Raw genomic sequence first — 25,803 nt, forward strand, 5'->3', positions numbered from 1 at the left:
TGGGACAGAACATACAGTTAGTCATTGGTGCTACCCAGTGCTCAGAAATCATTATCTTCTGTTACTGTGACCAATTGTCATTCCCTGCCTCTTGCATTCTATTTCAGTCCCAGGTAATGATTCTTCTGACACAATGCTTTGGGCCTTTCCATGTTAACATAGTCTTCCAGGACTGTTTTTAACACCTTGTCCATTGGTTTTATGAAAGTCATTTTTTTCTTTCTTTCTTTCTTTTTTAAGAGACAAGGTGTCTTGCAGGTGTTAGGCAGGCTGGCCTCCAACTCTTGGGCTCAAGTAGTCCTCCTACCTCTTCTTGTTTGTAAACTGGGAGTAATTATAGCACCTACTTCATTGAGCTGTTGTCTATATTCAATGACAAAAGACCCCTTGAGGCTTCGCCTAGTTATCTGGAAAGCAGTAAGTGCTCAGTAAATTTTAGCTGCTACTATTACTACTAACAACATGTGAGGGATGATTGGGAAACGCCAGCACCACAGAACATTCTGGTTGACTGAACCAGAATATGTGGCCTCAAAGCATGCATGCAAAGATCTGATTTGAGCCGGGCATGGTGGTGCACACATGCAGTCCCAGCTACTCGGGAGCCTGAGGCGGGAGAATTGCTTGAGCCCAGGAGTTCAAGACCAGCCTGGCCACACAGCAAGACGCCGTCTCTACAGAATAAAAATAAAAACATGAGCTAGGTGTGGTGGCGTGCACCTATCATCCCAGCTACTCAGGAGGCTGAGGCAGGAGGATCACTTGAGCCCAGGACGTCGAGGCTTCAGTGAGCTATGATGGCACCACTGCACTCCAGGCTAGGTGACAGAGTAAAACCCTCACTCTAAAAAATGAAAAGTAAACTGGTGTGGGGCTGTTCTCAGTGATGAGGCCCTGGACCCATAACTGCTAGGGCTGGGAGGAGTTTGGAAATCTCTTCTGTGCAGTCATCATGGGTCAATGAGGGAGGCTTAGGCCAAGACCCACTTCCAACAGAGACTCTCCACCTTCAGCTGTTTACTGTATTAGGGGTCTATCGGAGCACTGATTTGAGGAAAGGATTCTGCCAAGAAGAATGCAGAAAGGAAGGGACAGAGGAAGAGAAGGAGTTTTAGAACCATTGAGAGTACAACCCCTTCCTTTTACAGATGTGGATTTGAGGCCCAGAGAAGTTCGGTGAGATCTGCCCCTGAGTTACATAGCCAGGGAGTTCTCTGCAGGGCCAAGGTTAGAATCAGGCCTCCTCACTCCCCGCAAGGCCTGTCCACCACACTGGCTGCTTCAAATCCAACGTTGCCTCCAGGGGGCGCTATACCCCTTGTATTGTATGTGCATGGCACCTCCCTGAGGCCCTGCACCTCCAGAATCTTAGCAATTAGATAGTTCATAGCCCCAGCGCCATGAAGAAAGATCACAGCTACAACAAGCATGTCTTATGTGTGTACTGTGCCTTACAGAGGCGGGCAGAATTTCTCTGTGTGGGCTGGATATTTACTATTTAGGCTCTACACATCATACCGTCTCTGTTGCATAGCCTCAACTCTGACATGGAAGAACAAAAGCAGCTATAGGCAGTAAGTAAACCAACCAGCCTGGCTGCATTCCAATAAAACTTTATTTATGGATGCCAAGATTTGAATTTCATATAATGTTCACATGTCACAAAAATAGCCATCTTTTTATTTTTTCAATTTTTTTTTTTTTTTTTTTTAGACAGTCTCCCTCTGCTCCCTCTGTTGCCTAGGGTGGAGTGCAGTGGCATGAGTAGCTCACTGTAACCTCTAACTTCTGGCCTCAAGCAATCCTCCCGCCTCAGCCTACTAAAGCACTGGGATTACAGGCCACCATGCCTGGCCTATTTTTTGTTTCAACACTTTAAAAATATAGGCCAGGCACAGTGGTTCATGCCTGTAATCTCAGCAGTTTGGGAGGCCAAGAAGGGCGGATCACTGGAGGTCATGAGTTCGAGACCAGCCTGGCCAACATGGCAAAACCTAAAAATACAAAAAATTAGCTGGGCATGGTGGCAGGCACCTGTAATCCCAGCTACTCAGGAGGCTGAGACATGAGAATCACTTGAACCTGGGAGGCAGAGGCTGCAGTGAGCCAAGATCGCATCATTGCACTCCAGTCTGGGTGACAGAGCCAGAATCCATATAAAAAAAAAAAAAAAAAGTAAAAACCATTCTTAGTTTGTGGGCTGTACAAAAACAAGCAGCAGGCTAAATGTGTCCCACGGGCCATCATTTGCTGCCACCTGGTTCATATGATTCATTGGTATTCTTGTCTCTCTTGAGCTTTGCAAGAGTTATAAAAGCTGACAAGGGAAGTATCAGATCTACTTCTTAGAAACAGAAATGGACCAAAACCCAGAGGTTAATTTTATACTTTATTGCCCAAACTCTAAAGCTTCTCTGCCGCTTAAGAGAAGCCAAAAAGTCCCCTAAAGACCCTAAAAAAAAGCCAGTTTTGAAATAATCTTCTGATTGAGGCTGCCTAGAACCCAAGTGGATCTTGCAGATTAGGGTCACCTGGGGTCTTTCCACGGTTCGTTCCAGTCCAAGCATAAATCCCCGTGATGCCCCTATAGCAAAATGGAACCAGCATGGGTTCCAGAACACATGGGCCGAAGTCACATGACCATCTCTTCCAGGGGTGCAATTCTCATTTCTACATGTGAAATGGATCACCCATATGCTCCCATACATACCCAACCAAAAAAAATCAAGCTGTTAAATGTATGAGTTTATACCACTGCCCTAGGCAGTAGAACAAAAGAATTGTAAGTCCCTTTAGGAGTTGGATTTCGGGCAAAGAGCAATGAATGGGGAGAAAGATTCTAGGCATGCCAGCCCAGAGAGATACAAAAGGCAGATAGGAAGGTGGGAGGTTGTATTGGGGGTGACTGAAAAAGACAGTGGCCTAGGAGGTGTGGATGGTGAACAGGGGTCCCCCAGAGTCAAGAAAGAGCCAAGACTTCATGTAAGGGGCATTGTAGGTATTTTTGGTTTTTCTTTTTCCTTTTTTTTTTTTTTTTTTTTGCCTATTGCCCAGGCTGGAGTGCAGTGGTGCAATCCTAGCTCACTGCTCACTGTAACCTCCACCTCCCAGGTTCAAGCGATTCTCCTGCCTCAGCCTCCCGAGTAGGTGGGATTACAGGCACACACCATCGCGCATGGCTAATTGTTGTATTTTTAGTAGAGACAGGGTCTCACCATGTTGGCCAGGCTGGTCTCAAACTCCTGACCTCAGGTGATCTGCCCACATCGTCTTCCCAAAGTGCTGTGATTACAGGCGTGAGCCACCTCACCCAGCCAAGCATTGTAGATTTTTTAAGGTGAGAAGTAACAGGAAGAAATGCATCTTAATCTGATGATATTGTATAGGATGGTAGAGAAATAGGCAGATATGTTCAAATATTTAGAAGACTGTTAGAGTATTCCAGGGATGAGCTAAAGGAGGCCCAACCCACAGAGTCATGGCAGAGGTCAAGCACAAATGCTCTTCCAAAGGAAAGACAAAATGCCTGGGATTCACCAGACCTGGAGGCCTGAGCTGTCAACAGGGATCTAGTGAATCCAGCCTGAGTGAGTGAACTACTTCCTCCTTTTATGAATAATCAGTTTGTCTGCACTGACTCTAATTAGTGTAAATATAGTGAGCTTCCAGCACAAAATACCAAGCATTCTGGCCCAGTGCAAGCCCTTGTTTTTTGGTTTTGGGGTTTTTTGTGTGTGTGTTTTTAGAGAGAAGGGATCTTGCTATATTGCCCAGGCTGGTCTCAAACTCCTTGCCTCAAGTAATCCTCCTGCCTCAGCCTCCCAACTCGCTGGGATTACAGGTACACACCACCACTCTCTGCTGCTTGTCTTTCCTTTTCTTTCTTTCTTTTTTTTTTTATAATTAATAGACATTTTTAGAGCCATTTTAGGTTGACATGAAATGGGGTAAAATGTGCAGAGTTCCCGCACAGCCCCTCCCCAAACACACATTCATCCTCCCCACCATCCACATCCTGACATCCCACACCAGTGTGGGACATTTGTTACCTACATAAACCTACGTTAACATATCACGATCACCTGGAGTCCATAGTTTACTTTGGGGGTTCTGTCTGTGTTGTGCATTCTATGGATTTGGAAAAATGCATAATGATGCACATCCCCCATTTAAAGGAACCTACAGGATAATTTCACTGCCCTAAAAGTCCTCTGTCCTCCCCCTTCTCATCCCTCCGTCCCTTCAAGCCCCTAGTCACCAACAGTCTTCTTACTGTATCCATAGTTTTGCCTTTTCCAGAATGTCATGTAACTTTTCCTTTTGAAAAATAAATTCCTTTCTTTTTAAGTAATACACGTGAAGGTACAACAAACAAAAGATGCAATTGTTTTAAAAGTTTCCCTCCTTCTGTCCCACAACCATTCCTCCAGCCTACCAATTTCTTCCCATTCCTATAGATGCAAGTGTGGGATTTGTGCGTATGTGAGACTTTTGAAGGGAGAGGTTGAAAATGAGGTGCTAGCAAGACAGTTAGCCAAAGAGATCAGTAAACATCTGCAACAATGGAAGAGGAATTCCAGTGACAGGTCAGAAGTGAATATGTAGATTTAGGAGCCTCTGCCCAGCCGGTGACTGCTGTGAATGGATGAGCTCTCTGCGGGGGTAGAGAGCAGCAATCCAGGCCTTGGGGAATTCCTTCATTACAAATATTTATTAGTACCTACAATGCAAGAGGCTCCGTAGGGAGCACAAACCTAAGGAAAGGTGCAAACAAACAAAACCAAGCTTTGGTCACAGAGGCAAAAGGGAGGGACGGCTACCATAGTGTCAGGGAATGATGCCAAGGAAAGAGCTCCCAGGAAGGACGAAGTCATACCTTTGCCACCAGATCAAGAAGTTAAGGCCAAAGGCAGGGGGGAAAAAAAAGAAGAAGAAGCAAAAAGAAGCATTGATGACAGAAAGTTCAGCTGGAGCCTGAGGAACAAAGCCATATATTGAATTAATAGGGACTGTGCAGTGAGGAACTAGAGGCTGAAGAAAGACCATTTTACAACAGGTCATATTGTCAGAGGCGTGTGAACCTCTGAGCAACTCCATGTTGAATAGGAGCTGGGTAAAATGAGGCTGAGACCTACTGGGCTGCATTCCCAGACAGTTAAGGCATTCTAAGTCACAGGATGACATAAAGGGTCACCACAAGATACAGGTCATAAAGATATTGCTGATTAAAAAAAGGTTGCAATAGGCAGGGCGCAGTGGCTCACGCCTGTAATCCCAGCACTTTGGGAGGCCGAGGCAGGCAGATCACCTGAGGTTAAGAGTTCGAGACCAGCCTGGCCAACATGGTGAAACCCCTTCTCTACTGAAAATACAAAAAATTTTAAAAAATTAGCCAGGCATGGTGGCATGCACCTGTAAGCCCAGCTACTTGGGAGGCTGAGGCAGGAGAATAGCTTGAACCCAGGAGGCAGAGGTTGCAGTGAGCAGAGATCATGCCACTGCACTCTAGCCTGGGCGACAGGGCAAGACTGTGTCTCAAAAAAAAAAAAAAAAAAAATTGCGGTAAAGAAGCCAGCTAAAACCCACCAGAACCAAAATGGCAACAAGAGTGACCTCTGGTTGTCCTCACTGCTACATTCCCATTAGCGCCATGACGGTTTACAAATAAATGCCATGGCAACAACAGGAAGTTACCCTATATGGTCTAAAAAGGGGAGGCATGAATAATCCACCGCTTGTTTAGCATATCATCAAGAAATAACCATAAAAACGGGCAACCAGCAGCCCTTGGGGCTGCCCTGTATACAAAGTAGCCATTCTTTTATTCCTTTACTTTCCTAATAAACTTGCTTTCACTTTACTCTACAGACTCCCCCTGAATTATTTGTTGCGTGAGATCCAAGAACCGCCTCTTGGGGTCTGGATCTGGACCCCTTCCCTATAACTTTGGAGCCTGTGGTATTCCAGAATTTGGATGATTTTTGGTTTTAGAAAGGTTATAGAGTACATATATTCTATTATATTCCATGTAACACACCCAGCAGAGTCTGGAATAAGACCCCTCAATCAAACCTATTAATATTTCTGCAGTGAATCATATGAATATTCATACCAAGTGGGATAGGTAAAGACTACAAAATTTCAGCTTCTCCTTAAGAAAATCTTTTGGGTTTTCAGAGCTTCTTAGACTTCAGAACAGATAAGGGACCTGAGCTGAATTTCTTTTCAGGGCTTAGGTAGAGCAGCATGGGTTTATTTTAGGTCTTAGACTGCAACAAATAGTGAAGGTCCTCCATCGGACTCTAAGTGGCTTGGCCAGTCGGGCATGGTGGCTCAAGCCTGTAATCCCAGCACTTTGGGAGGCCCAGGTGGGTGGATCACTTGAGGTCAGGAGTTCGAGACCAGCCTGGTTCAACATAGCAAAACCTAATCTGCACTAAAAAAAAAAAAAAAAAAAAAAAATGAGCCAGGTATGGTGGCTCACGCCTGTAGTCCCAGCTACTCAGGAAGCTGAGGCAGGAGAATCTGTAGAACCCAGGAGGCAGAGGTTACAGTGAGCCGAGATCGCACCACTGCACTACAGCCTGGGTGACAGAGCAAGACTCCGTCTCCAAAAAAAAAAAAAAAAAAAAAAACGAAAATGAAGTGGCTTGAAGACAGAATTCAGTCTGATGATATTTCCTTGGCACATAGTGCATGTCCACTAATTTCAGCTGCACTGAGCTTTTGTTCTTTCTAATCATTACAATGCCTAGGCCTGATCACCGTCCCAACTTGGCTCTTCCTGCAGCCCACCCTCCCAGCCCAAGTCAGCCCAAGTTCCAGAATTACTCCTCCATTGATATGCAGCAAGCACATCTTATTTCTCTTCTTAAATCCAAACTCAATAGCCATCTGTTTGTTCTGGTATTCTAGCACTAATTGCCATTCCTGATTTTGTTTGATATATTTGACCTGGTATTTTAGAACTAACTCTTAATTGTGTTTTTATTTAATATGGATAGCACACATAAAGGAAGAGCACAAGGAGTGCTATATAAATGCAAATTTTATTGTATTTCACTCTAGACCTCAGAGACTCGCCAAACTTGGTTCTACTCTGAAGAAGTTTTGCCCTAAAGGGGTTAGGGAGGCTTCCTCACTCTCCCTTGCACAGCTTCCTCAAAGCTGGACTAATAAAGACATGAAAACCCATCATATTCAAGCCAACTGGTCTACTGAGTTTTGCATCAAAATTAACAAATCTCACATTAGATCATGATTTTTTACATCCTGTTTTTGTGAACTGATTGTGCATTTTGTATGAAAAAGCACCATTCACAGGGCATGGTGGTTTGTGCCTGTAATCCCAGCTACTTGGAAGACTGAGGCAGGAGGATCTTTGAGCCCAGGAATTTGAGGCTACAGAGCTATCGTGGTACCACTGCACTCTAGCCTGAGTGACAGAGCAAAATCCCACCTCTATAAAATAAGAAAAGCACCATCCTAACTGAGTCACTATGACATTGTTTAAAGTTTAAGTTTGCATTGTGGAAAGGACTATTTTAATTTTCTGTTTTTCGAAGGACAGATTCATGGTTACAGAAGTGTGCCATTATCGAGTAGATCATTGGTGCAGCTTGTAAGGCTTGTGAAAGAAAAATAAATCTTGGGGCCCCAAATCACTAAGCTAAAGGGAAAAATCAAGCTGGGAGCTGCTTAGGGCAAACATCCCTCCTATTCTATTCGAAGTCACCCCTCTGCTGACTGAGATAGATGCATATCTGATGGCCTCCCTTGGAAAGGCTAATCAGAAACTCAAAAGAATGCAACCATTCCTTTCTCGCCTACCTGGAAGCCCTTCCCCATCTTCCTGCCTTTGCTTCAAGTTGTCCCACCTTTCCAGACCGAATCAGAGTGCTTCTTACATATACTGATTGATGTCTCACATCTCCCTAAGATATATAAAACTAAACTATGCCCCAACCACCTTGGGGACATGTCGTCAGGACCTCCTGAGGCTGTGTCATGGGCATGTCCTCAACCTTGGCAAAATGAACTTTCTAAATTAACTGACACCTGTCTTGAATTTTTGGGCTTCACAGGCTTCACTGAAATTTTTCAAGATAAGCTGTTCTACTTCCAGGAAGTGTCTAAAGTCGTTATTACAATGAGATTTCAGATCATGTAAGAATCAAGTAAGGCATCAATCACTAAAGCAAAGGAGTCACTCCTGTGACTCATGAATCATCCCATTTAGGGGCCACTGAGTCACCATGCCATGCTTGGCTGCTATGCTGTAAACAGCCACCCCGGACCCCACACCCTGTGAGAGTTAAGTGCATCCACTGTCCAGGGTCTTAATTTTGAACTTCTCGCCCTGACCCATTCCTCAGGCCACATTCCATGCGGGGCTCAGACCTTCTGGCTTTTTACATCACCGCTCATTCTTCCATCTCTGGTTCTCCCCCTCTCTTTAGACTTGGCCTTCAGATTTTCTTCCTCACTATGACCTTGGCTCTTTCTCAGCCTATCTGTGACTGGATGAATGAATGGATTTTATTTTCTATTTTCTCTTAGTCACTGATTTCATCCTATTGTGTTCTTGAAACAGTCTAATAAGTTATACATGTCTGCAATGGGAGCAGCATATTTGGTTTTCATCACTGGAGACAGAAAATACTTGCCATTTCAGGAATCTTTTTATCTTTAATGATTTATTTAATAACATTCTTTGTAGCCCAGAGCTGGTCTTGGAAAATTACTAACATTCTCCATTTGTGGGGCACGGCCAGGCCAATGAAATGCTACCAACATTGTTATGTCTCCATTGATATCCTATCTGAAGAAAATTGCCATATTAAGAAAGATGTTCTGTTACTAAACATGTTATCTTGCATGTATCACCGTGAGGTTGACATGCCTCTACCCCTGCTTTTGGCCTTTAGCAGACTGGATTCAGACTATAGCTATAGCAGGGCGCCATGGCTCACGCCTGTAATCCCAGCACTTTGGGAGGCCAAGGCGGGTGGATCACAAGGTCAGGAGATCGAGACCATCCTGGCTAACACAGTGAAACCCTGTCTCTATTAAAAAACACAAAAAAATTAGCCAGGCGTGGTGGTGGGCACCTGTAGTCCCAGTTACTCGGGAGGCTGAGGCAGGAGAATGGCGTGACGTGAACTTGGGAGGCGGAGGTTGCAGTGAGCCGAGATGGCGCCACTGCGCTCCAGCCTGGGTGAAAGAGCAAGAATCCATCTCAGAAAAAAAAAAAAAGCAGACTACAGCTATAAATACTGTAGAAATCATACAGGAACAGACAATTTGACCTTTGTTCACACCAGAGTGGAGATGGCAGTAGCGACAAGTGTGACCAACAAAGGGTGGTGGGGAGGCAGAGGGTACAGACCAGAGGATTATTCAAAAAGGTCAAGATCCAAGTAATCAGAATGAGAATCTGAGCAGAATTCCCTAATAAGAACCAAGGCTGGTTACGGGTTCCAGAAGCTGAAAATCCACAACCAGAAGCAACCGTTAACAGAGAAGCAAGTACCGGCATCCATCACAAAGACCAGGAGGTCAGCAGTGGCAGGTCAAGGGAAAGAATCCAGGAAGTCATGAGAACTCCCATAAAAGAAGTGGAAGCTAAGAGCCTTGGTCAAGAGCCAGAGGGTTAGGCTGGGCTCAGTAGTTCATGCCTGTGATCCCAGAATTTTGGGAGGCCGAGGCAGGTGGATCACTTGAGGTCAGGAGTCTGGGACCAGCCTGGGCAACATGGTAAAACCCCATCTCTCCCAAAAATACAAAAACTAGCCAGGCAGGGTGGCATGTTCCTATAGTCCTAGCTACTTGGGAGGCTGAGGCAAAAGAATAGCCTAAGCCAGGGAGGTGGAGGTTGCAGTGAACCAAGATTCGGCCACTGCTCTTCAGCTTGGGTGACAGAGTGAGACTCCGTGGAAAAGAAAAAGAGTCAAAGGGTTGAAAGTATGTTCAACTCTACATACAATAAGAGAAATGCAAGTAAAATTAAAATTATAATGGGAGACCATTGAAAGTATTCATTAAAAATCTAATCAAACCCCTATAATCCAGATATATCACTTCACAGGAAATACAGGAGATAGAAGAAATGTTAAATGTTAGTACATACTGAATTGGCAAAATCAAGACTGAAAATAAATCTAGAAGACAAATAACGACATTCTCTCAACAACAACAAAAAAATTGCAAAGAAAATAGAAGAGATGGAAAAAGGGTACAGCTGTCAACCAACTGCAATGTATAGACCTTATTTGGATCCCAGTGCAAAAAACTGTAAGAAAATAAAAATTATGAAACCATCTCTGAAAAAAAATAGGCAGAGCATATGTTCATATCCATATACTATGTGAGTTATTCCAGGCAAGCTATTAATCTGTCTCAATTTTCTCTTCTGAAAAGCAATGAATAATGCAATGTATCCCCATAGGATTGTGAGAATTAAGAGATAATGCATATAAAGTGCTTAGCCAAGTACCTGGTACCTAGAAACCATTAAACAAATGGTAATCATTATGACACCAGTAATCAAAGGAGTGAAGTAATAACAAGACATGAAAATCATTGCTGCCAGCCGGGCATGGTGGCTAACACCTGTAATCCCAGCACTTTGGGAGGCCAAGGCGGGCGGATCACTAGGTCAGGAGTTCGAGACCAGCCTGGCCAACATAATGAAACCCTGTCTCTACTAAAACTATGAAAATTAGCCAGGCATGGTGCCAGGCATCTGTAGTCCCAGCTACTTGGGAGGCTGAGGCAGGAGAATCACTTGAACCCAGGAGTCAGAGTTTGCAGTGAGCCAAGATCGTGCCACTGCACTCCAGCTTGGGTGACACAGTAAGCCTGTGTCTCAAAAAAGAGAAAAAGCCCGACGCGGTGGCTCATGCCTGTAATCCCAGCACTTTGGAAGGCTAAGGCGGGTGGATCACGAAGTCAGGAGTTCAGGACCAGCCTGGCCAAAATGGTGAAACCCCGTCTCTACTAAAAATACAAAAATTAGCCGGGCCTGCTGGCAGACACCTGTAATCCCAGCTACTTTCGAGGCTGAGGCAGAGAATTGCTCAAACCCAGGAGGCAGAGGTTGCAGTGAGCCGAACTCATTCCACTGCACTCTAGCCTGGGCGACAGAGCGAGACTCCATCGCCAAAAAAAAAAAAAAGAAAAAGAAAATTATTACCATCTGACAATATATACGTGTGTGTGTGTATATATATATATATATATATATATATATAAAAATTTTTTTTTTTTGAGACGGAGTCTTGCTCTGTTGCCCAGGCTGGAGTGCAGCGGCAGGATCTCAGCTCACTACAACCTCTGCCTCCCGGGTTCAAGCAATTCTCTGCCTCAGCCTCCCGAGTAGCTGGGATTACAGGTGCCCACAACCAAGCCTGGCTAATTTTTGTATTTTTTAGTAGAGACAGGGTTTCACCATCTTGGCCAGGCTGGTCTTGAACTCCTGATCTCGTGATCCACCCGCCTCAGCTTCCCAAAATGTTGAGATTACTGGCATGAGCCACTGAGCCCGGCCCTTTTTATATTTTATGATAGGGCAGTAATCAGGACTTAAGCCCGGTTGTTCCCAAACTGGAAAGAATGAGCAGGAACATAATTGCACCTGATCAAATGAGGGCCTTACAGCTGCAGGGGAATCCTGACACCAGCTGGGTATGAGAGGAGCAACTCAGTATTCACGGAGATCATGAAGGACTGTCCAGAAGACAAGCATGCAGCTCATTGCTCAGCTAAATGATCTCCATTTGATGTCAATTTCAACCCAAACCAGCAGCAATAGGACTGAAGTGCCTTTTGTCCTCAAATTTGTTTTTCTAAAATATGCTTTGGAATTGTGCCCTTGGCTCACTTAGTTGCTTAACAGCAAATATATGAAACTGGCTACTGAAAATGTAATGCTGTGGACGTTGTCCCTTACTGGTGTAATGCCCCCTTTCTCAGGGCCTTTAAGAGATTATCACAACCACAGTGTCAGGACTTCTCCAGAGCACCCAGCGTGTGTTAATCTCATGGAAGTAAGCCTGGTCTTACTCTTTGCTTTGAGCTTTAGGAAACTCACAACTAAATTTGGGCCCCTTTGAATGATGATACAGACCCTTCAATTATGCAGTTCACTGAAAATATATTTTCCTTAGTTTAATTTTAATATTCTGAGGCTAGATAGTGGGTCAGAAACTACAGTCAAAGGGCAAACCCAATCTGGTGCCTGCTTATTGTTCCATTGAAGATGCTTATTCACTTGCCTGTTGTCTGTGGCTGCTTCTGTAGCACAACAGCAGATAATTGCAACAGAAACTACAAGGCCCAAAAAGCTAAGACTCTTTACTCTCTGGCCCTGTACAGAAAACATTCATCAACCCCTTCTCTAGACTTACCTTTTTCTAACTTTTTCTCTTGATCTTTACCCTGTTATGGGTGTTTTATAAATCCATTTTAGAAGAAAGCAGGTTGTAAAGAATCTAATAAGGAAGCAAGGCCAAGAGGGCCATGTGATGCTGTGTGGTCCTCAGTGACACCCAAACACACCCACACTAAAATGTCTGTGGGAAATTGGAACCACTCTCCCTGCTGTCAGCATAGACAGTCTATCCACTGCATGAGTTGTAGTCAGAGTAAAGAGAACCATCCTCCATCTCAATGTTGGGGCTCAGAGCACTGCAAAATATGATGCTCCGGTATGCTGAGCATTTTTGAATTAAAGGAAATTGGAAAACCTTAGAAGCTACCTCAGAATCAATAAATTTTCTAACCTTCTCTTGTTTCTTTCTCCAACCCCTGCCCCTACAAGCCAAGCACATGCAGAGGTTCACTCTGGAAGTTTCTTTATCTGATTGAGGAAAACTTCTTCCAAAAAAAATACAATTGTCTTAATAGCCCCTTCCTAGGAATCTTATCAAATAACCAAGAAAAATTAACCACCAGAGGAGAGAAAGACTAAAATCATCACAATGTTCAGACAAACTTTTCTTCTGTTCTTTTGAGGGTAACTCCAAAAGATTATTAGGAGATTTTATCTACATAATAAGACAACCTTTGTTCACAGTGCAGTTCTTCCCCTCACCTTACCACCACCTCCCCCAGAGCTCAGAACTTTGTCCCAGGCCATTGTCTATTATTTGGGCTCATCCAATTCCCTTGAAAATTATTTACCACCCCTTAAAAGTACCTACACCCCCCATTTCCCTCTCCCCTATGAAGAGTATATTTAGGCCTCAACCATCTGATCCTTCCTTGAGTCTCATAGTTTTGCACGGCTCCCATGCTTATGCATGTTAGTAACTTTGCATGCCTTTTCTCCTTTTAATCTGTCTATTGTCAGTTCATTTCAGCAGACTGGAACCTTCAGAGGGGAAGGGAAAATTCTCCTCACCGCTACACCCACACCAGATGCCAGTAATGGTTCTTAGAGATTCCTCTCTCCTAGACCTCAGTAAAGTTATTTCTGTCTTTAAGGGCTTTCTTTGCTAATTCCTCTAAATAATCAGTTTTCAGTAGATCCCACTGGCACCTAAAAGAAGAAATACTGGGCAAAGAGAAGAAAGGAGTGCAATGGGGGTGGGGGGAAGGTAAGGGGGTCTAAGAAGGCTAAGAGAGGCCAGGCGCAGTGGCTCACACCTATAATCCCATCACTTTAGGAGGCCAAGGCAGGCAGATCACTTGAGGTCAGGAGTTCAAGACCAGCCTGGCCAACGTGGTGAAACCCTGTCTCTACCAAAAATACAAAAATTAGCCAGGCGTGGTGGTGCATGGCTGTAATCCCAGCTACTCAGGAGGCTGAGGCAGGAGAATTGCTTGAACCCAGGAGGCAGGAGTTGCAGTGAGCCCATATCACACCACTGCACTCCAGCCTGGGTGACAGAGCAAGACTCTGTCTAAAAAAAAAAAAAAAGAAGAAGAAGAAGCCTACAAGAGTCAGAAGTCACGTGTTATCCTTCCTACTCAGCACTGGGCTTGACACCAAAATTGGGTCATGATGATGGCAATTATGAAAAATAAAAACCAGACCAGGCGCAGTGGCTCACACCTGTAATCCCAGCACTTTGGGAGGCCAAGGAGGGTGGATCAAGAGGTCAGGAGTTCAAGACCAACCTGGCCAACATAGTGAAACCCTGTCTCTACTAAAAATACAAAAAAATTAGCCAGGCGTGGTGGTGGACGCCTGTAATCCCAGAGGCTGAGTCAGGAGAATCGCCTGAACCCGGGAGGCAGAGGTTGCAGTGAGCTGAGATCACGCCACTGCACTCCAGCCAGGGAACAGTGCGAGATTCCGTCTCAAAAATAAAAATAAAAAAGAAAAAGAAAAACCTTATTTGTTTTACAATTAAACCCATATGCAGATGATAATTGCTGTTATAAGTTTAATGCCCAGACTTGGTTTCTCTTCCAAAAAAGTATAAACACAGTCCAGCTATATCTTTGTAATGCTCTTAAATGTGTCTTAGTAAGGACCAAAACATCTGATTTTCAAGGTATTTGGAGTTTGGGTCTCTGTAGCTGAACGTGGTTTCTTTTTCTCTTCAAAGAGGATATTTCAAGGAAGTCTTTCATCAAAAACTGCTAATTTAAGGCTCTGCTTTGTATAAAAGTTTATTTTGTATAAAAGTTACATGCTTCCCAAGATCACGTTTTAATTAACAAAGCACTGTATGGTCTTATCTAACAAAACCCTGAAAATCAAGTTGGCCATTAAAGGGTATTAAATGATTAATTGATAATCATTAAATGATAGGCAAACCAGAATATCACTGGAATTGCACGATCATCTTATTAGTCTCTCACACTACATACTGTCAATGCAAAAGACCACTTAGGAAGAAAATGTATGGCTGGGGTTGAAATAAATGTTAGACCCCTGAGAAATTTATTGAAATTGACTGAGAAAGTAACATTCGGGACTTTTTTTCCTGAAAACTGTTCAAGCCTTAAGCAACTGCAATTATACTTTTATCTTACTCTAAATACTGTCTTTATAATTAAGAAAAACATCCCTTGTGCCTATTCTTTTAAAAAGGACTTTTTCCCTCTATTTCACTTAAAAGGAAATCAAGGTTTTACATTTTCTAGTAAAAGCATAAGAAAAACGATGAAGGTATCTATCTTGTGAAAGGAAAGCTCATCAGCATCAAATGTAAAAATCTGTATAAGGATAGATTGTTTCATTTTGTTTCTTTAGAACATAAGAGAATCCGAATGACTTACATTCTTGGCTCTTTTTCCACCCACGCAGGGAAACCAGGAGGAATTCCAGAATCAAAGAGAACCGCATTCCTCTCTACCACAAAGTACTCACACTTGGCAAATGGCAAAGATTTGGGTCATCATTTTTTAAACGACAGCCAAGCATTAAAGAGCCCAGGCAGAGAGCAAGTAAAAGAGTCTCCGTGGTTCCTCCCAGCGCTAGTCTGTGGCCTCAACAACATAGCACGTTGCAGGAAAAATTCCAAATTTCTGGGTCCCAAGGGGAGGCATTACTCAGCAGTCTCAGCGGTGACGGCGTCAGCAGGACAAGAGCCATTTGCTCCGGGAGGACTTTGATGTTTCTTTAAATGGTTTCTGCATCTAGTCCAATAGAATGGATACGGAATTATCTTTATTACAACCACAAGGATGTGCAAATTTATTTACAGTATAAATGGTTCTTTCCACAAGTCCTAGCTGTCAACAACTCTTTATTTTCCTGGAGTGACTTAGAAGCCAAGAATGTTTTGTTTCTTAAGCTTCCTACCTAGAGAGGTAAAATAACAATCTTGTTAATGAGAAGACAAAGAAGCTAACTGTTCTGTTTTGCAGCGTTCCTACAGACCGTACCTTTTAATTGCCTAGTGCTGGCAACTTAACATACTGTAATGAGTACATTGTTCCTCTTTTTTTGTTTGTTTGTTTTTTCTTTTTTCTTTTTTTTCTTTTTTTTTTTTTTGCACATAGCTCTCTTGAAGTGCGTTAGAAACTGAGTTTGTTGTACAGAGCAGAGAAGATTCTTATTAAAAACTGGCGGAAGCATTTGGAACAAGCGGTTTATTTTGACTGGTGAGGTATGTCTTACATAGCTTGCATTCAGATGCAAGAGGAAAAAGAGATAAAGTGAATTAGTCCCAATCATCTGGGAAATGACATTTCTTACCGTGTTTGAAGTACTTTATGAATTAGAGAATGGGACTGATTTTGAAGGCTAAATTAATTTAATCTGTTTGCTTTTGTTTGATGCAGCAGCTGCAGCGACACACCCTACTTCTTTGAAAATCTGCAGCTTTCAAGGGTTTGGGTTTAGAAGAGAAAGAGTGCAGCTAAGTGGTGGTGGCTTGCTTGGTGGGGGTGCTGGGGGAGGGAATCCGTTTGCAATTTCCCCTGGTGGAAGTCTGGCATTCTCAGAGAGGGTTTGTCTCAGACATCAAGGTAGCCGCTCACTCAGGCCCACCATTCTTGTTATTAAAGGAGAACTTTCCAGGTGAAGCAAACAGGAGGCAAAGAAAGGAAATTATCATCCAACTCTTTCCACCACCCCCCCTCCCCCCAGCACATTTTCATTAGGGGAAAAAAAAACCTCCAGGGTAAAGATAAAAGAGGCAGAAAGGTTCCCATTGGCCACGGTCCATTAACAATGACTGACACCCAGTTTGCCACACAAGAGCCCCATAGCCCATAGCTTCCTTATTTATGTTTGAGTTGGGGATTTCTTTGGTGCCGCAGATGGGCTGATAGGTTCAAGAACTCAATACTAACCATGGACGTATGTCCCATCATCTTCGTTTCTCTACCTTAGAAGATGAGGACTGTGCGTTTCCAAGCAGGACAGAGAGACAGCATCTTTACAACAACACTGAGTATACATAGGTCAATTTTTCAAAAACGGATTAGGTTTCTAAGAGGAGAGCAGCTTCACCTGGTACATTTTCACCATCAACCACAGAGTCAGGGAGGCTTTTTGCAGATGGGTACGCCGAGGAGCATGGACCATTTCAAAGTTCAGACAGGAGTTGGGTTCAGTGAAATTTGCCCATCATGGTACTAAAGGCAGGAGATCAGGTCACATAATTCACCCCTGACTTGGTCTGGAAGAAAAATAGGCTGGCCGATTTTAGAAAAGGAAATACTGTACTTGGAGAAATCAAGAAGAGGCTAGAAGTGACCACAGACTGTCACATCATACTGGGCAGTGTCTGGTTGCAGAGCAATATTAAAGTCCACATGGCATTTATGGATTCATTACCATCACGACCTCCAGAACCGTAAGGTGGAGGAAAAAAAGACTGATGTATTTTCTGATGAGTAACACATTTATCGGGGCATTCGTCTTGTAAAGCAAGCTGAGCTGGGCCTATGTTCTATAATCTGCTACCTAAGGTAGACACAGGGGCTACATGCCCAGCCTCTGTTCTACCAGAAGCAACTGGTATATGGAGTGTGATGGGCTTTGTTCCTTCTAAGAGGGCCCAGGGTAAGCCTATGACTTTTTTTTTTTTGACACGGAGTCTCACTCTGTCACCCAAGCTGGAGTACAGTGGTGTGATCTTGGCTCACTGCAATCTCTGCATCCCAGGTTCAAGTGATTCTCCTTCCTCAGCCTCCTGAGTAGCTGGGATTACAGGCACTTGCCACCACGCGTGGCTAATTTTTGTATTTTTAGTAGAGACAGGGTTTCACCATGTTGGCCAGGCTGTTCTCGAACTCATGATCTCAGATGATCTGCCCACCTCGGCCCCCCAAAGTGCTGGGATTACAGGCAGCCTGGACTTTAAGTAAGGTTAAAGGTGAGACCTTTTTCCCAGAGCAATTCAGCTCCTCCCTGAGACAAGATCCTTGAATGATAAAACACCCCACATCCGCACCCTCCCTCTTAAAATTTTCCCTCTACATTATGGAATATTGTTTAATATTGACTTTTTAAATTAAACAAATCACTGCTTTATATCTTTGAAATGATCATTTACTGAAATTGAAGCAAACATGTTGCATTTTTTTTCACAAATCCATCTTTTCCAAGAGCTACATCCAGTCTCTGCTCAGAGCAAATGGCACAGAACTTAGGAGGCAAAAATGCAAGCGTGTGCTCTTCTCCCTCACACAACTGGTTCAGACATCAGGACAAACACCTCCATCAACGAAGTGTTTTCAGGGCAATCTCATAATTCTGTATTTCCAAGACCAAATATTTCTATGCAGTGAGCGGGAGAGAGTAAAAACAAGAGTAGCGGAACGATAGGAAGAAGAGCTGGTAGGCCCAGGATACCAGGAGCTGAAAATAACCAGGAAGCAGGTGCAGGCATGCCCCGGCCAGGCCCTGCCCTCTGCCTTCTCCTCTGTTTCTTGCCCCGCCAACCCAGGTGAAATGCAGCTGCCTCTCCCCACCTCCCTCCAGCTCTCCCCCTCCTCCCCAATTGGGACTGAAACTCTTCCAAGGGGACCAGGTGCAGTGGCTCACACCTGTAATCCCACCACTTTGGGAGGCCGAGGCAGGTGGATCGCCTGAAGTCAGAAGTTCAAGACCTGCCTGACCAATATGGTGAAACCCTGTCTCTACTAAAAATACAAAATTAGCTGGGCACGGTGGCACATCCCTGTAATCCCAGCTCTTTGGGAGGCTGAGGCAGGAGAATCACTTGAACCAGGGAGGTGCAGGTTGCAAATTAGCTGGGCATGGTGGTACATCCCTGTAATCCCAGCTACTTGGGAGGCTGAGGCAGCAGAATCACTTGAACCAAGGAGGTGGAGGTTGCAGTGAGCCAAGATCATGCCATTGCACTCCTCAAAAAGAAAAAAGAAAAGAAACTCTTCCAAGGGGCTATGAGAGCAGATTTTCACTACTAACAGCAACTGTGACAAGTTACTGATCACAGTGAATACCCACAGTGTCCCCATGTGCCTTGGACACAGGTCTTCCTGGGCAAAGCCACAAAGCAGCCGGGCAGCCCCCGGAGACTCCACCCAACATCTCCCCAGACCATGTGGGGAGCAACCCACAGGCCCTGACTGGGGCTCGCTCATGGCTATCACATCAACCCCCACTTGGAACCCAGCTCCAGCAACTGTGGGTTTTGTTTTTGTTTTTGAAGACAGGGCCTGGCTCTGCTACCCAGGCTGGGATGCAGTGGTGCGATCGTACTCACCACAGCCTCAAATTCCCAGGCTTAAGTTATTCTCCCACTTCCACTTCTCAAGTAGCTGGGACCACAGGCACATGCCACCACGCCAGCTAATTTTTCTTTTTTTTTGAGATGGAGTCTTGCTTGGTCGCCCAGCCTGGAGTGCAGTGGGGAGATCTCCGCTCACTGCAACCTCCGCCTCCCAGCTTCAAGTGATTCTCCTGCCTCAGCCTCCAGAGTAGCTGAAATTACAGGCGCCTGCCACCACACCTGGCTAATTCTTGTATTTTTAGTAGAGACAGGGTTTCACCATGTTGGCCAGGCTGGTCTTGAACTCCTGGCCTCCAGTAAGTAAACTGCCAACCCTGGCCTCCCAAAGTGCTGGAGTTACAGTAATTTTTTAATTTTTTGCGGAGATGGGGGTCTCACTGTGTTGCCCAGGCTTGTCTCAAACCCCTAACCTCAAGTGATCCTCCAACATCAGCCTGCCAAAGTGCTGGGATTACAGGTGTGAGCCATCGTGCGTGGCTGCAGCTGGTTTTCAAAAGCGATCCCTACAACTTGCAGGTGTATTTGCCAAGCTCTGCGTCTGGAACTGCTTTTCCCTTGATGTGGAGCTGAAGCTGTCCCTGCTCCTGTGTTCCTCTCCCTCCTAGTAGCAGGGCCCAGGGCTCCGTTGACATGGGTCTTTCCTGTCTAAGAAGCAATTCCTTCATTGCCGAAAAAATAGACACCAGATTTCCACAAGGAAGACCCCTGACATGAATAGTTTCAACCTATACATAAAGTGTTTTGGATTCAGATTTGCAAAGCTGTTCTGCCATTTTGAGTTGAAAGAATTGGGCCCCCTGACTTTCTGCACAGGCACCTTAAGCCTAGGAAGCTCGAAAATAATTATAAATAATAAATCTCTTTAAGCCATGCAGTCTCACCGTAAGAGGACAGAACAATACCAAACCTACAGAGAAGTCCCCAAGAGGTTAATTATCCTGCCCCAGCAAATAGAGACAACTTAGAGGGGAGTCCAGCAGGGACTCCAGGCCCTCCTCCAGCTCCGCTTCAATTTTCATTTAAATCATGTGATCTCTCCTGTTTCTCTTTTTTAAAGTGTTGACCTCATCCTTAGAAGGCAGATTCTAGTTGTAATTTAACTTTGACACTTTCAGGTCCAATACTTGTTTTTATTTACGTCAGCTTCTGTGAATGGGAGTTAGGTCAGAAAACAAGAAAGGAAAAAAGAGAGAAGGAGGGAAGAAAGCAGGCAGGCAGGCAGGCGAAGAAAGAAAGAAAAGAAAGGGAAGAGAGGGAAAGAAAGAGGGAAGGATGGAAGAAGGAGGGAGGGAGGGTAGGAAGAAGGAAAGGAAAGAGGGAGGGAGGGAAGGAAAGGAAGGAAAGAAAGAGAGAAGGAGGGGAGGAAGGAAGGCAGAAAGGAAGATCATGTAATCTCTCTAAGCCTCTGTTTTCTCTTCTGTAACCTGGGAATGAGAATTCCTACAGCACCATTATTGTGAAGACAGAGGATTACGTAAGGCATTTAAAACCCAGCTTTACATAGTCAACACTGCACTGCAATTATTGTGTTACTGTTATTATTGTAACCGTCACATTGCATCATCTTAACTCTGTTGGGAATTCATTTATGAAGTTATATTTTCTTGCTTTTTTGTAAGAAAGTTATTTGCAAACAACCAAAGTATAGCCTTAGCCAATATAAAATGAAAAACATTTCTTTCAGGAATACATACCTGGTCATCAGTGGATTTTAATAGCAACACCACACTGTGAGGCAAAACATTCCTAATTAATATTCCTCCATGACTGTGGCTTTTGTCAAAATATATTTTTCTGCTTTCTTTCGTGTGTTTATGTGTTAAGGGTATCAAGTTATCTAATATCTAATTTTTTCAAGCATCTACTCTGTCTAAAATGTCATACTAAATGTTGAGAAAGACATAGACAAATGTTAGAAATAGCTATCTTAATTCGATCAATGTATGAATCCACTGTCAAAATAATAGTGCCCATACTAGTCTGTCATTTGCAAGTGACAGAATCCCAATTGAGACCGGCTCAAGAATAATTTATTAGCTTGTGTGCCCCACAGAGTAATGGAGAAGTTCACTGAAGGAGAAAGGATGTAACTAGGAAGAGGAGAGAGGTTTTTACAAGCAGTTACAGTCCACTACACCCTCCAAATGATAACATCATCATCTTCATTAATATAAACCACATCTGAAGTGAAACAAAAATAGAGGCCGGGTGCAGTGGCTCACACCTGCAATCCCAACACTTTGGGAGGCTGAGGAAGGAGGATTGCTTGAACTCAGGAGTTCAAGACCAGCCTGGACAACATAGTGAGACCCCCATCTCCACAAAAAAAAAAAAAAAAAGTCAGGCATGGTGGTGGGTACCTATAGTCCCATCTACTTGGGGACTGAGGATCACTTGAGCCCAGGAGTTCAAAGCTGCAGTGAGCTATGATCATACCACTGCACTCCAGTCTGGGTAACAAAGCCAGACCCTGTCTCAAAAAAAAAAAAAAGCACACGAACAAGAAGTTACTTTTAAAACTGATAAAAGAATGATACTTGAGTTTCCAGGGAATTACATCAAAGTAGATAAAACGTTCACACCAAAGGGATCTTCCAAAGGCAACCGAATTTCAGTGCCTCCGCTCAGCCTAATTCTAGAAACCTAGTACATTTGATCAGAGGAGAGGTGGAAAGAAATAGAGATGCCCTCCTTCAACCCACTCCCCAGTAGGGCTGGCACTGGGCAAGGCTGTCCACCGCGCCCTCCAGCCCTGCTCCAGGATGACAGCTGCCTCCTCTGGCACTCCCTGGGCCATCGCACAGCATCTTTCTTCCTGTTTCTCTCTCCTACTCCACAGTAGGCTCTGAGGGACAGTCACTCCAGTCTGTCCTACTCCCAACTTACTGAGTGCCTACTATGTGCCAAGTGGGGCCATAGAAGTGAGCAAAACAAATCACACATTTCTTGTGGAGCCTGCATTCCAACGCACACAAACAGGTGCATCTATGTCAGATGCGAAGGGAAGGGGAGGGGAGGGGAGGAGAGGGGAGGAGCAGAGAAGAGAAGGACTGCAGGGTGAGTGGGAGACAGGAAGGCAACCTTGAGGTGGGGTGCTGGCGAAGCCTTGCCTGCCCTGGAGGAGATCTGGGGAGGACCAGGCTCCAGAGCAGAGGATACAGCCAGCACTGATGGCAGAGGTAGGAAGGAGCCCCCGGCCCATCTGAAGAGCAGCATCAGGGGTGGGGAGTGAGGAGATGGAAAAGGGGCCATGAAAAAGGCTCAGGATTTTATGCTAAATAAAATGAGAAGCCACTGGAAAGTTTTGAACGAAGAGATTTTATTTACTTATTCATTCATTCATTTTTGAGACAGAGTTGCACTCTGTTGCCCAGGTTGGAGTGCAGTGGCACCATCTCGGCTCACTGCAACCTCTGCCTCCCAAGTTCAAGCGATTCTCCTGCCTCAGCCTCTGGAGTAGCTGGGATTACAGGCGCCCACCACCACGCCTGGCTAATTTCTGTATTTTTAGTAGTCAGGGTTTCACCGTGTTGGCCAGGCTGGTCTCGAACTCCTGACCTCAGGTGATCCACCCTCCTCAGCCTCCCAAAGTGCTGGAATTACAGGCATGAGCCACCGGGCCTGGCCAAGAGATTTTAGTATTAGCATTCAGGACCTTGCCTCTGTGTCTTTAGACAGTGTCTCTTCCCCCATTGGCTCAAGGCCCAATGTATGAGAACAGGTTTGCTCTCAAAATTTGTCACATGATATGTTAAGATACATACATTCCTACAGTAACCCTACAATAATACTTTAATTCCTCAAAAATGTCCTGAAAATAGTATGTATTTTTTAATTTCAAAAGTTATTAAGAAGGCTGAATACACACAAATCTCTCTGATCTCCTTCCTAAGTAATCTTGTACACAGTGACAGTTCTTCGATGGGTTTACTTGGGTTTTAACCTCAGAACTACTGAATGTCATCCTCTCAATCTGTTCCTCTTTCTTCAAGATAGAGGAACCAGGCCCTTGCTGGTTACAGCCATTGGGGGAGGGTAAAGGGATAGTCCAGAGATAAAGGAACCAAGGCTAGAAGGCCATTGGGGGGTCTAGGATGGATTTTTTTTTTCTCAGTTGGAATAGCTGTGGGTAGAATGTTCTCCAGTCCTGCACCTCACATAACAATCACTGTCATATTCCACCTAGAAATCATCCTTATAATAACGCGCATACATTCTTTTCTTTTTTTAGAGTTGGAGTTTCTCTATGTTGCCCAGACTGGTCTCAAACTCCTGGGCATAAGTGGTCCTCCCACCTCAGCCTCCTCAGTAGCTAGCACGACAGGCACGCACCACTGTGCTGGGCCTAAAGCACGTTCTTAAGAGAATATCAAAATACTTTTCCAGAGACACAAAGCATTGTCTCATCTGGGAAAACAGGAAGACGGAAACTCGGAGAAGTTAAATACTTAACTGAGATACCCAGAAGTTCAGCTGCCAACCAGGCAAGGCATCTGAGAAGGCTGTTCCATGAGTCTGGCTTCTGTCAGTTACAGATATTTCATCCAAGTTATGTTATATCTGTGTTACTTTGTCAAGTAAAATGGCACACTCCCTCAGTTATAGTCTTTTTAATTTATTTTTTTTGTGACAGTCTCACTCTGTTGTCCAGGCTGGAGTGCAGTGGCGAAATCACAGCTCACTGCAGCCTCAACCTCCCAGGCTCAGGTGATCCTCCCACCTCAGCCTCCCAGGTAGCTGGGACTACAGGCATGCGCCAGCACGCCCGGCTAGTTTTTGTATTTTTTGTAGAAACAGGATTTCACCATGTTGCCCAGGCTGGTCTTGAACTCCTAGCCTCAAGCAATTCGCCCACCTTGGCCCCCCAAACTGGTGGGATTACAGGAGTAAGCACTGCGCCTGGCCAGTCATAGTCTTACCCTATTTATTCATCTGCTGGGCCCTATGATGTCCTAATTCTATCTGACTTGCCTAGTTGTAAATTTCAGTGGCCAGGACCAAGGGCAGGTCTGCCTAGATTCTAAAGTACCCAGGGCTTTGTGAAAGTTCAAGAACCACACAAATACCAGAAAAGCAGTGTCCTGGGAAAAGCTTCTATAACCGACTCATAAATGGATGATTCTCCAAGGAGGGCATCAAGGGGAAAAAGAAATATGATCTTCCTCCACTCCCATCCCCCCTCCACCTCTTTGCTATAAAAGCCTTATTTCTTATTACTTTAATTAAGTTTCTGGTATGATCCCTGGTAAAAGGCTTTATGTTCATGCAGTCTTGTAGAAAACAGCCGTGAACTGGCCAGGCGCAGTGGCTCATGCCTGTAATCCCAGCACTCTGGGAGGCCGAGGCGGGTGGATCACGAGGTCAGGAGATCGAGACCATCTTGGCTAACACGGTGAAACCCCATCTCTACTAAAAATACAAAAAAATTAGCTGGGCGTGGTGGCGGGTGCCTGTAGTTCCTTCCAGCTACCCAGGAGGCTGAGGCAGAAGAATCGCTTGAACCCGGGAGGTGGAGCTTGCAGTGAGCCGAGATCGCACCACTGCACTCCAGCCTGGGCGACAGAGCAAGACTCCATCTCAGAAAAAAAAAAAAAAAAGAAAAGAAAAGAAAGGAAAAGAAAACAGCCCTGAACCCCACAATGACAGCAGCAACCCAAGAACTTGGTCACCTATACAAGCCCCTACCTTCTCTCCTGCCAGTGTTAACTTAGGCCACCAACATGTCAAGGTAGGCCAGGCATAGTGGTTCACGCCCATAATCCCAACACTTTGGGAGGCCAACATGGCATTGCTTGAGGCCAGGAGTTGGAAACCAGCATGGGCAACAAAGCAAGAACCGGTCTCTACAAAAAAATGTTTAAAAGTTAGCCAGGTGCTGTGGTGTGTGCCTGTAGTCTCATCTACTCAGGAGGCTGTGGCAGGAGGATCACTTGAGCCAGGAATTGGAGGTTGCAATGAGCTACGTTCACACCGCTGCACTCCAGCTTGGGCAACAGAGCAAGACCCTGTCTGCAAATAAATGAACAAATTAATGTCAATGCTATTATATGCAACAGAGAATCAAATCTTTACCCAAGGTGAAGGCATCTGGTTGTGTCTTGTCTTGCCTTGTGTTGTTCCTTTTTCCCTCACTCCAATTGTCCCTCCACTCCCTATAAGAATCGATCTTTAAGGCCGGGCGCGGTGGCTCACGCCTGTAATCCCAGCATTTTGGGAGGCCAAGGCAGGTGGATCACCTGAGGTCGGAAGTTCGAGACCAGCCTGACCAACGTGCAGAAACCCTGTCTCTACTAAAGATACAAAATTAGCCAGGTGTGGTGGCACGTGCCTGTAATCCCAGCTACTCAGGAAGGCTGAGGCAGGAGAATCGCTTGAACCCGGGAGGCAGAGGTTGCAGTGAGCCAACATTACGCCATTGCACTCCAGCCTGGGCAACAAGAGCAAAACTCCATCTTAAAAAAAAAAAAAAAAAGAATCGATCTTTAGTTTCTCCAAAACTGATGCTACTGTTCTCTCTTAACAGAAAAAGCCATCCAAGGTCCCTGTTGCCCCAGTGGGTCAGCCTCAGGGATTGCCACCCAGGAGGGAGGGTGCTCAGCCCCGTGGAACAGGTGCTAGAGCTATGCCATTCCACACCCCC

General features: G+C 44.8%; 1 protein-coding gene across 2 annotated transcripts in view, besides 9 other annotated features; it reads right to left on the minus strand.

The window, feature by feature from the left end:
* The window catches only part of NEBL (nebulette), a 513,078-nt gene extending 497,626 nt beyond the window's left edge, over window positions 1–15,452 (minus strand). For both annotated transcript variants that reach the window (NM_001377326.1, NM_001377327.1), the window contains exon 1: window positions 15,232–15,452. The gene's annotated coding sequence lies outside the window, so the exon portion shown is untranslated. The remainder of the gene's footprint in view (window positions 1–15,231) is intronic.
* Window positions 1,275–1,394: an enhancer, noted in NCBI's record as "active region_3120". NCBI's record gives its function as "activates an Ori minimal core promoter by ATAC-STARR-seq in GM12878 lymphoblastoid cells {active_cell/tissue: GM12878}" and the evidence as "EXISTENCE:reporter gene assay evidence [ECO:0000049][PMID:35858748]".
* Window positions 4,221–4,899: an enhancer, noted in NCBI's record as "OCT4-NANOG-H3K27ac-H3K4me1 hESC enhancer chr10:21570748-21571426 (GRCh37/hg19 assembly coordinates)". NCBI's record gives its function as "activates a minimal SCP1, AML or CMV promoter by ChIP-STARR-seq in primed H9 embryonic stem cells {active_cell/tissue: H9 hESC(primed)}" and the evidence as "EXISTENCE:reporter gene assay evidence [ECO:0000049][PMID:30033119]".
* Window positions 4,900–5,576: an enhancer, noted in NCBI's record as "NANOG-H3K27ac hESC enhancer chr10:21571427-21572103 (GRCh37/hg19 assembly coordinates)". NCBI's record gives its function as "activates a minimal SCP1, AML or CMV promoter by ChIP-STARR-seq in primed H9 embryonic stem cells {active_cell/tissue: H9 hESC(primed)}" and the evidence as "EXISTENCE:reporter gene assay evidence [ECO:0000049][PMID:30033119]".
* Window positions 7,922–8,681: an enhancer, noted in NCBI's record as "OCT4-NANOG-H3K27ac-H3K4me1 hESC enhancer chr10:21574449-21575208 (GRCh37/hg19 assembly coordinates)". NCBI's record gives its function as "activates a minimal SCP1, AML or CMV promoter by ChIP-STARR-seq in primed H9 embryonic stem cells {active_cell/tissue: H9 hESC(primed)}" and the evidence as "EXISTENCE:reporter gene assay evidence [ECO:0000049][PMID:30033119]".
* Window positions 9,442–10,201: an enhancer, noted in NCBI's record as "H3K27ac-H3K4me1 hESC enhancer chr10:21575969-21576728 (GRCh37/hg19 assembly coordinates)". NCBI's record gives its function as "activates a minimal SCP1, AML or CMV promoter by ChIP-STARR-seq in primed H9 embryonic stem cells {active_cell/tissue: H9 hESC(primed)}" and the evidence as "EXISTENCE:reporter gene assay evidence [ECO:0000049][PMID:30033119]".
* Window positions 14,940–16,139: an enhancer, noted in NCBI's record as "MED14-independent group 3 enhancer chr10:21581467-21582666 (GRCh37/hg19 assembly coordinates)". NCBI's record gives its function as "activates an origin of replication core promoter dependent on BRD2, BRD4, P300/CBP and CDK7 cofactors, and independent of MED14, by STARR-seq in HCT116 cells {active_cell/tissue: HCT116}" and the evidence as "EXISTENCE:reporter gene assay evidence [ECO:0000049][PMID:35650434]".
* Window positions 14,970–15,733: an enhancer, noted in NCBI's record as "OCT4-NANOG-H3K27ac hESC enhancer chr10:21581497-21582260 (GRCh37/hg19 assembly coordinates)". NCBI's record gives its function as "activates a minimal SCP1, AML or CMV promoter by ChIP-STARR-seq in naive H9 embryonic stem cells {active_cell/tissue: H9 hESC(naive)}" and the evidence as "EXISTENCE:reporter gene assay evidence [ECO:0000049][PMID:30033119]".
* Window positions 19,232–20,032: an enhancer, noted in NCBI's record as "H3K27ac-H3K4me1 hESC enhancer chr10:21585759-21586559 (GRCh37/hg19 assembly coordinates)". NCBI's record gives its function as "activates a minimal SCP1, AML or CMV promoter by ChIP-STARR-seq in primed H9 embryonic stem cells {active_cell/tissue: H9 hESC(primed)}" and the evidence as "EXISTENCE:reporter gene assay evidence [ECO:0000049][PMID:30033119]".
* Window positions 23,151–23,230: an enhancer, noted in NCBI's record as "active region_3121". NCBI's record gives its function as "activates an Ori minimal core promoter by ATAC-STARR-seq in GM12878 lymphoblastoid cells {active_cell/tissue: GM12878}" and the evidence as "EXISTENCE:reporter gene assay evidence [ECO:0000049][PMID:35858748]".

Source organism: Homo sapiens, chromosome 10 (assembly GCF_000001405.40).
Source record: "Homo sapiens chromosome 10, GRCh38.p14 Primary Assembly".
NCBI classification, from domain to species: Eukaryota; Metazoa; Chordata; class Mammalia; order Primates; family Hominidae; genus Homo; species Homo sapiens.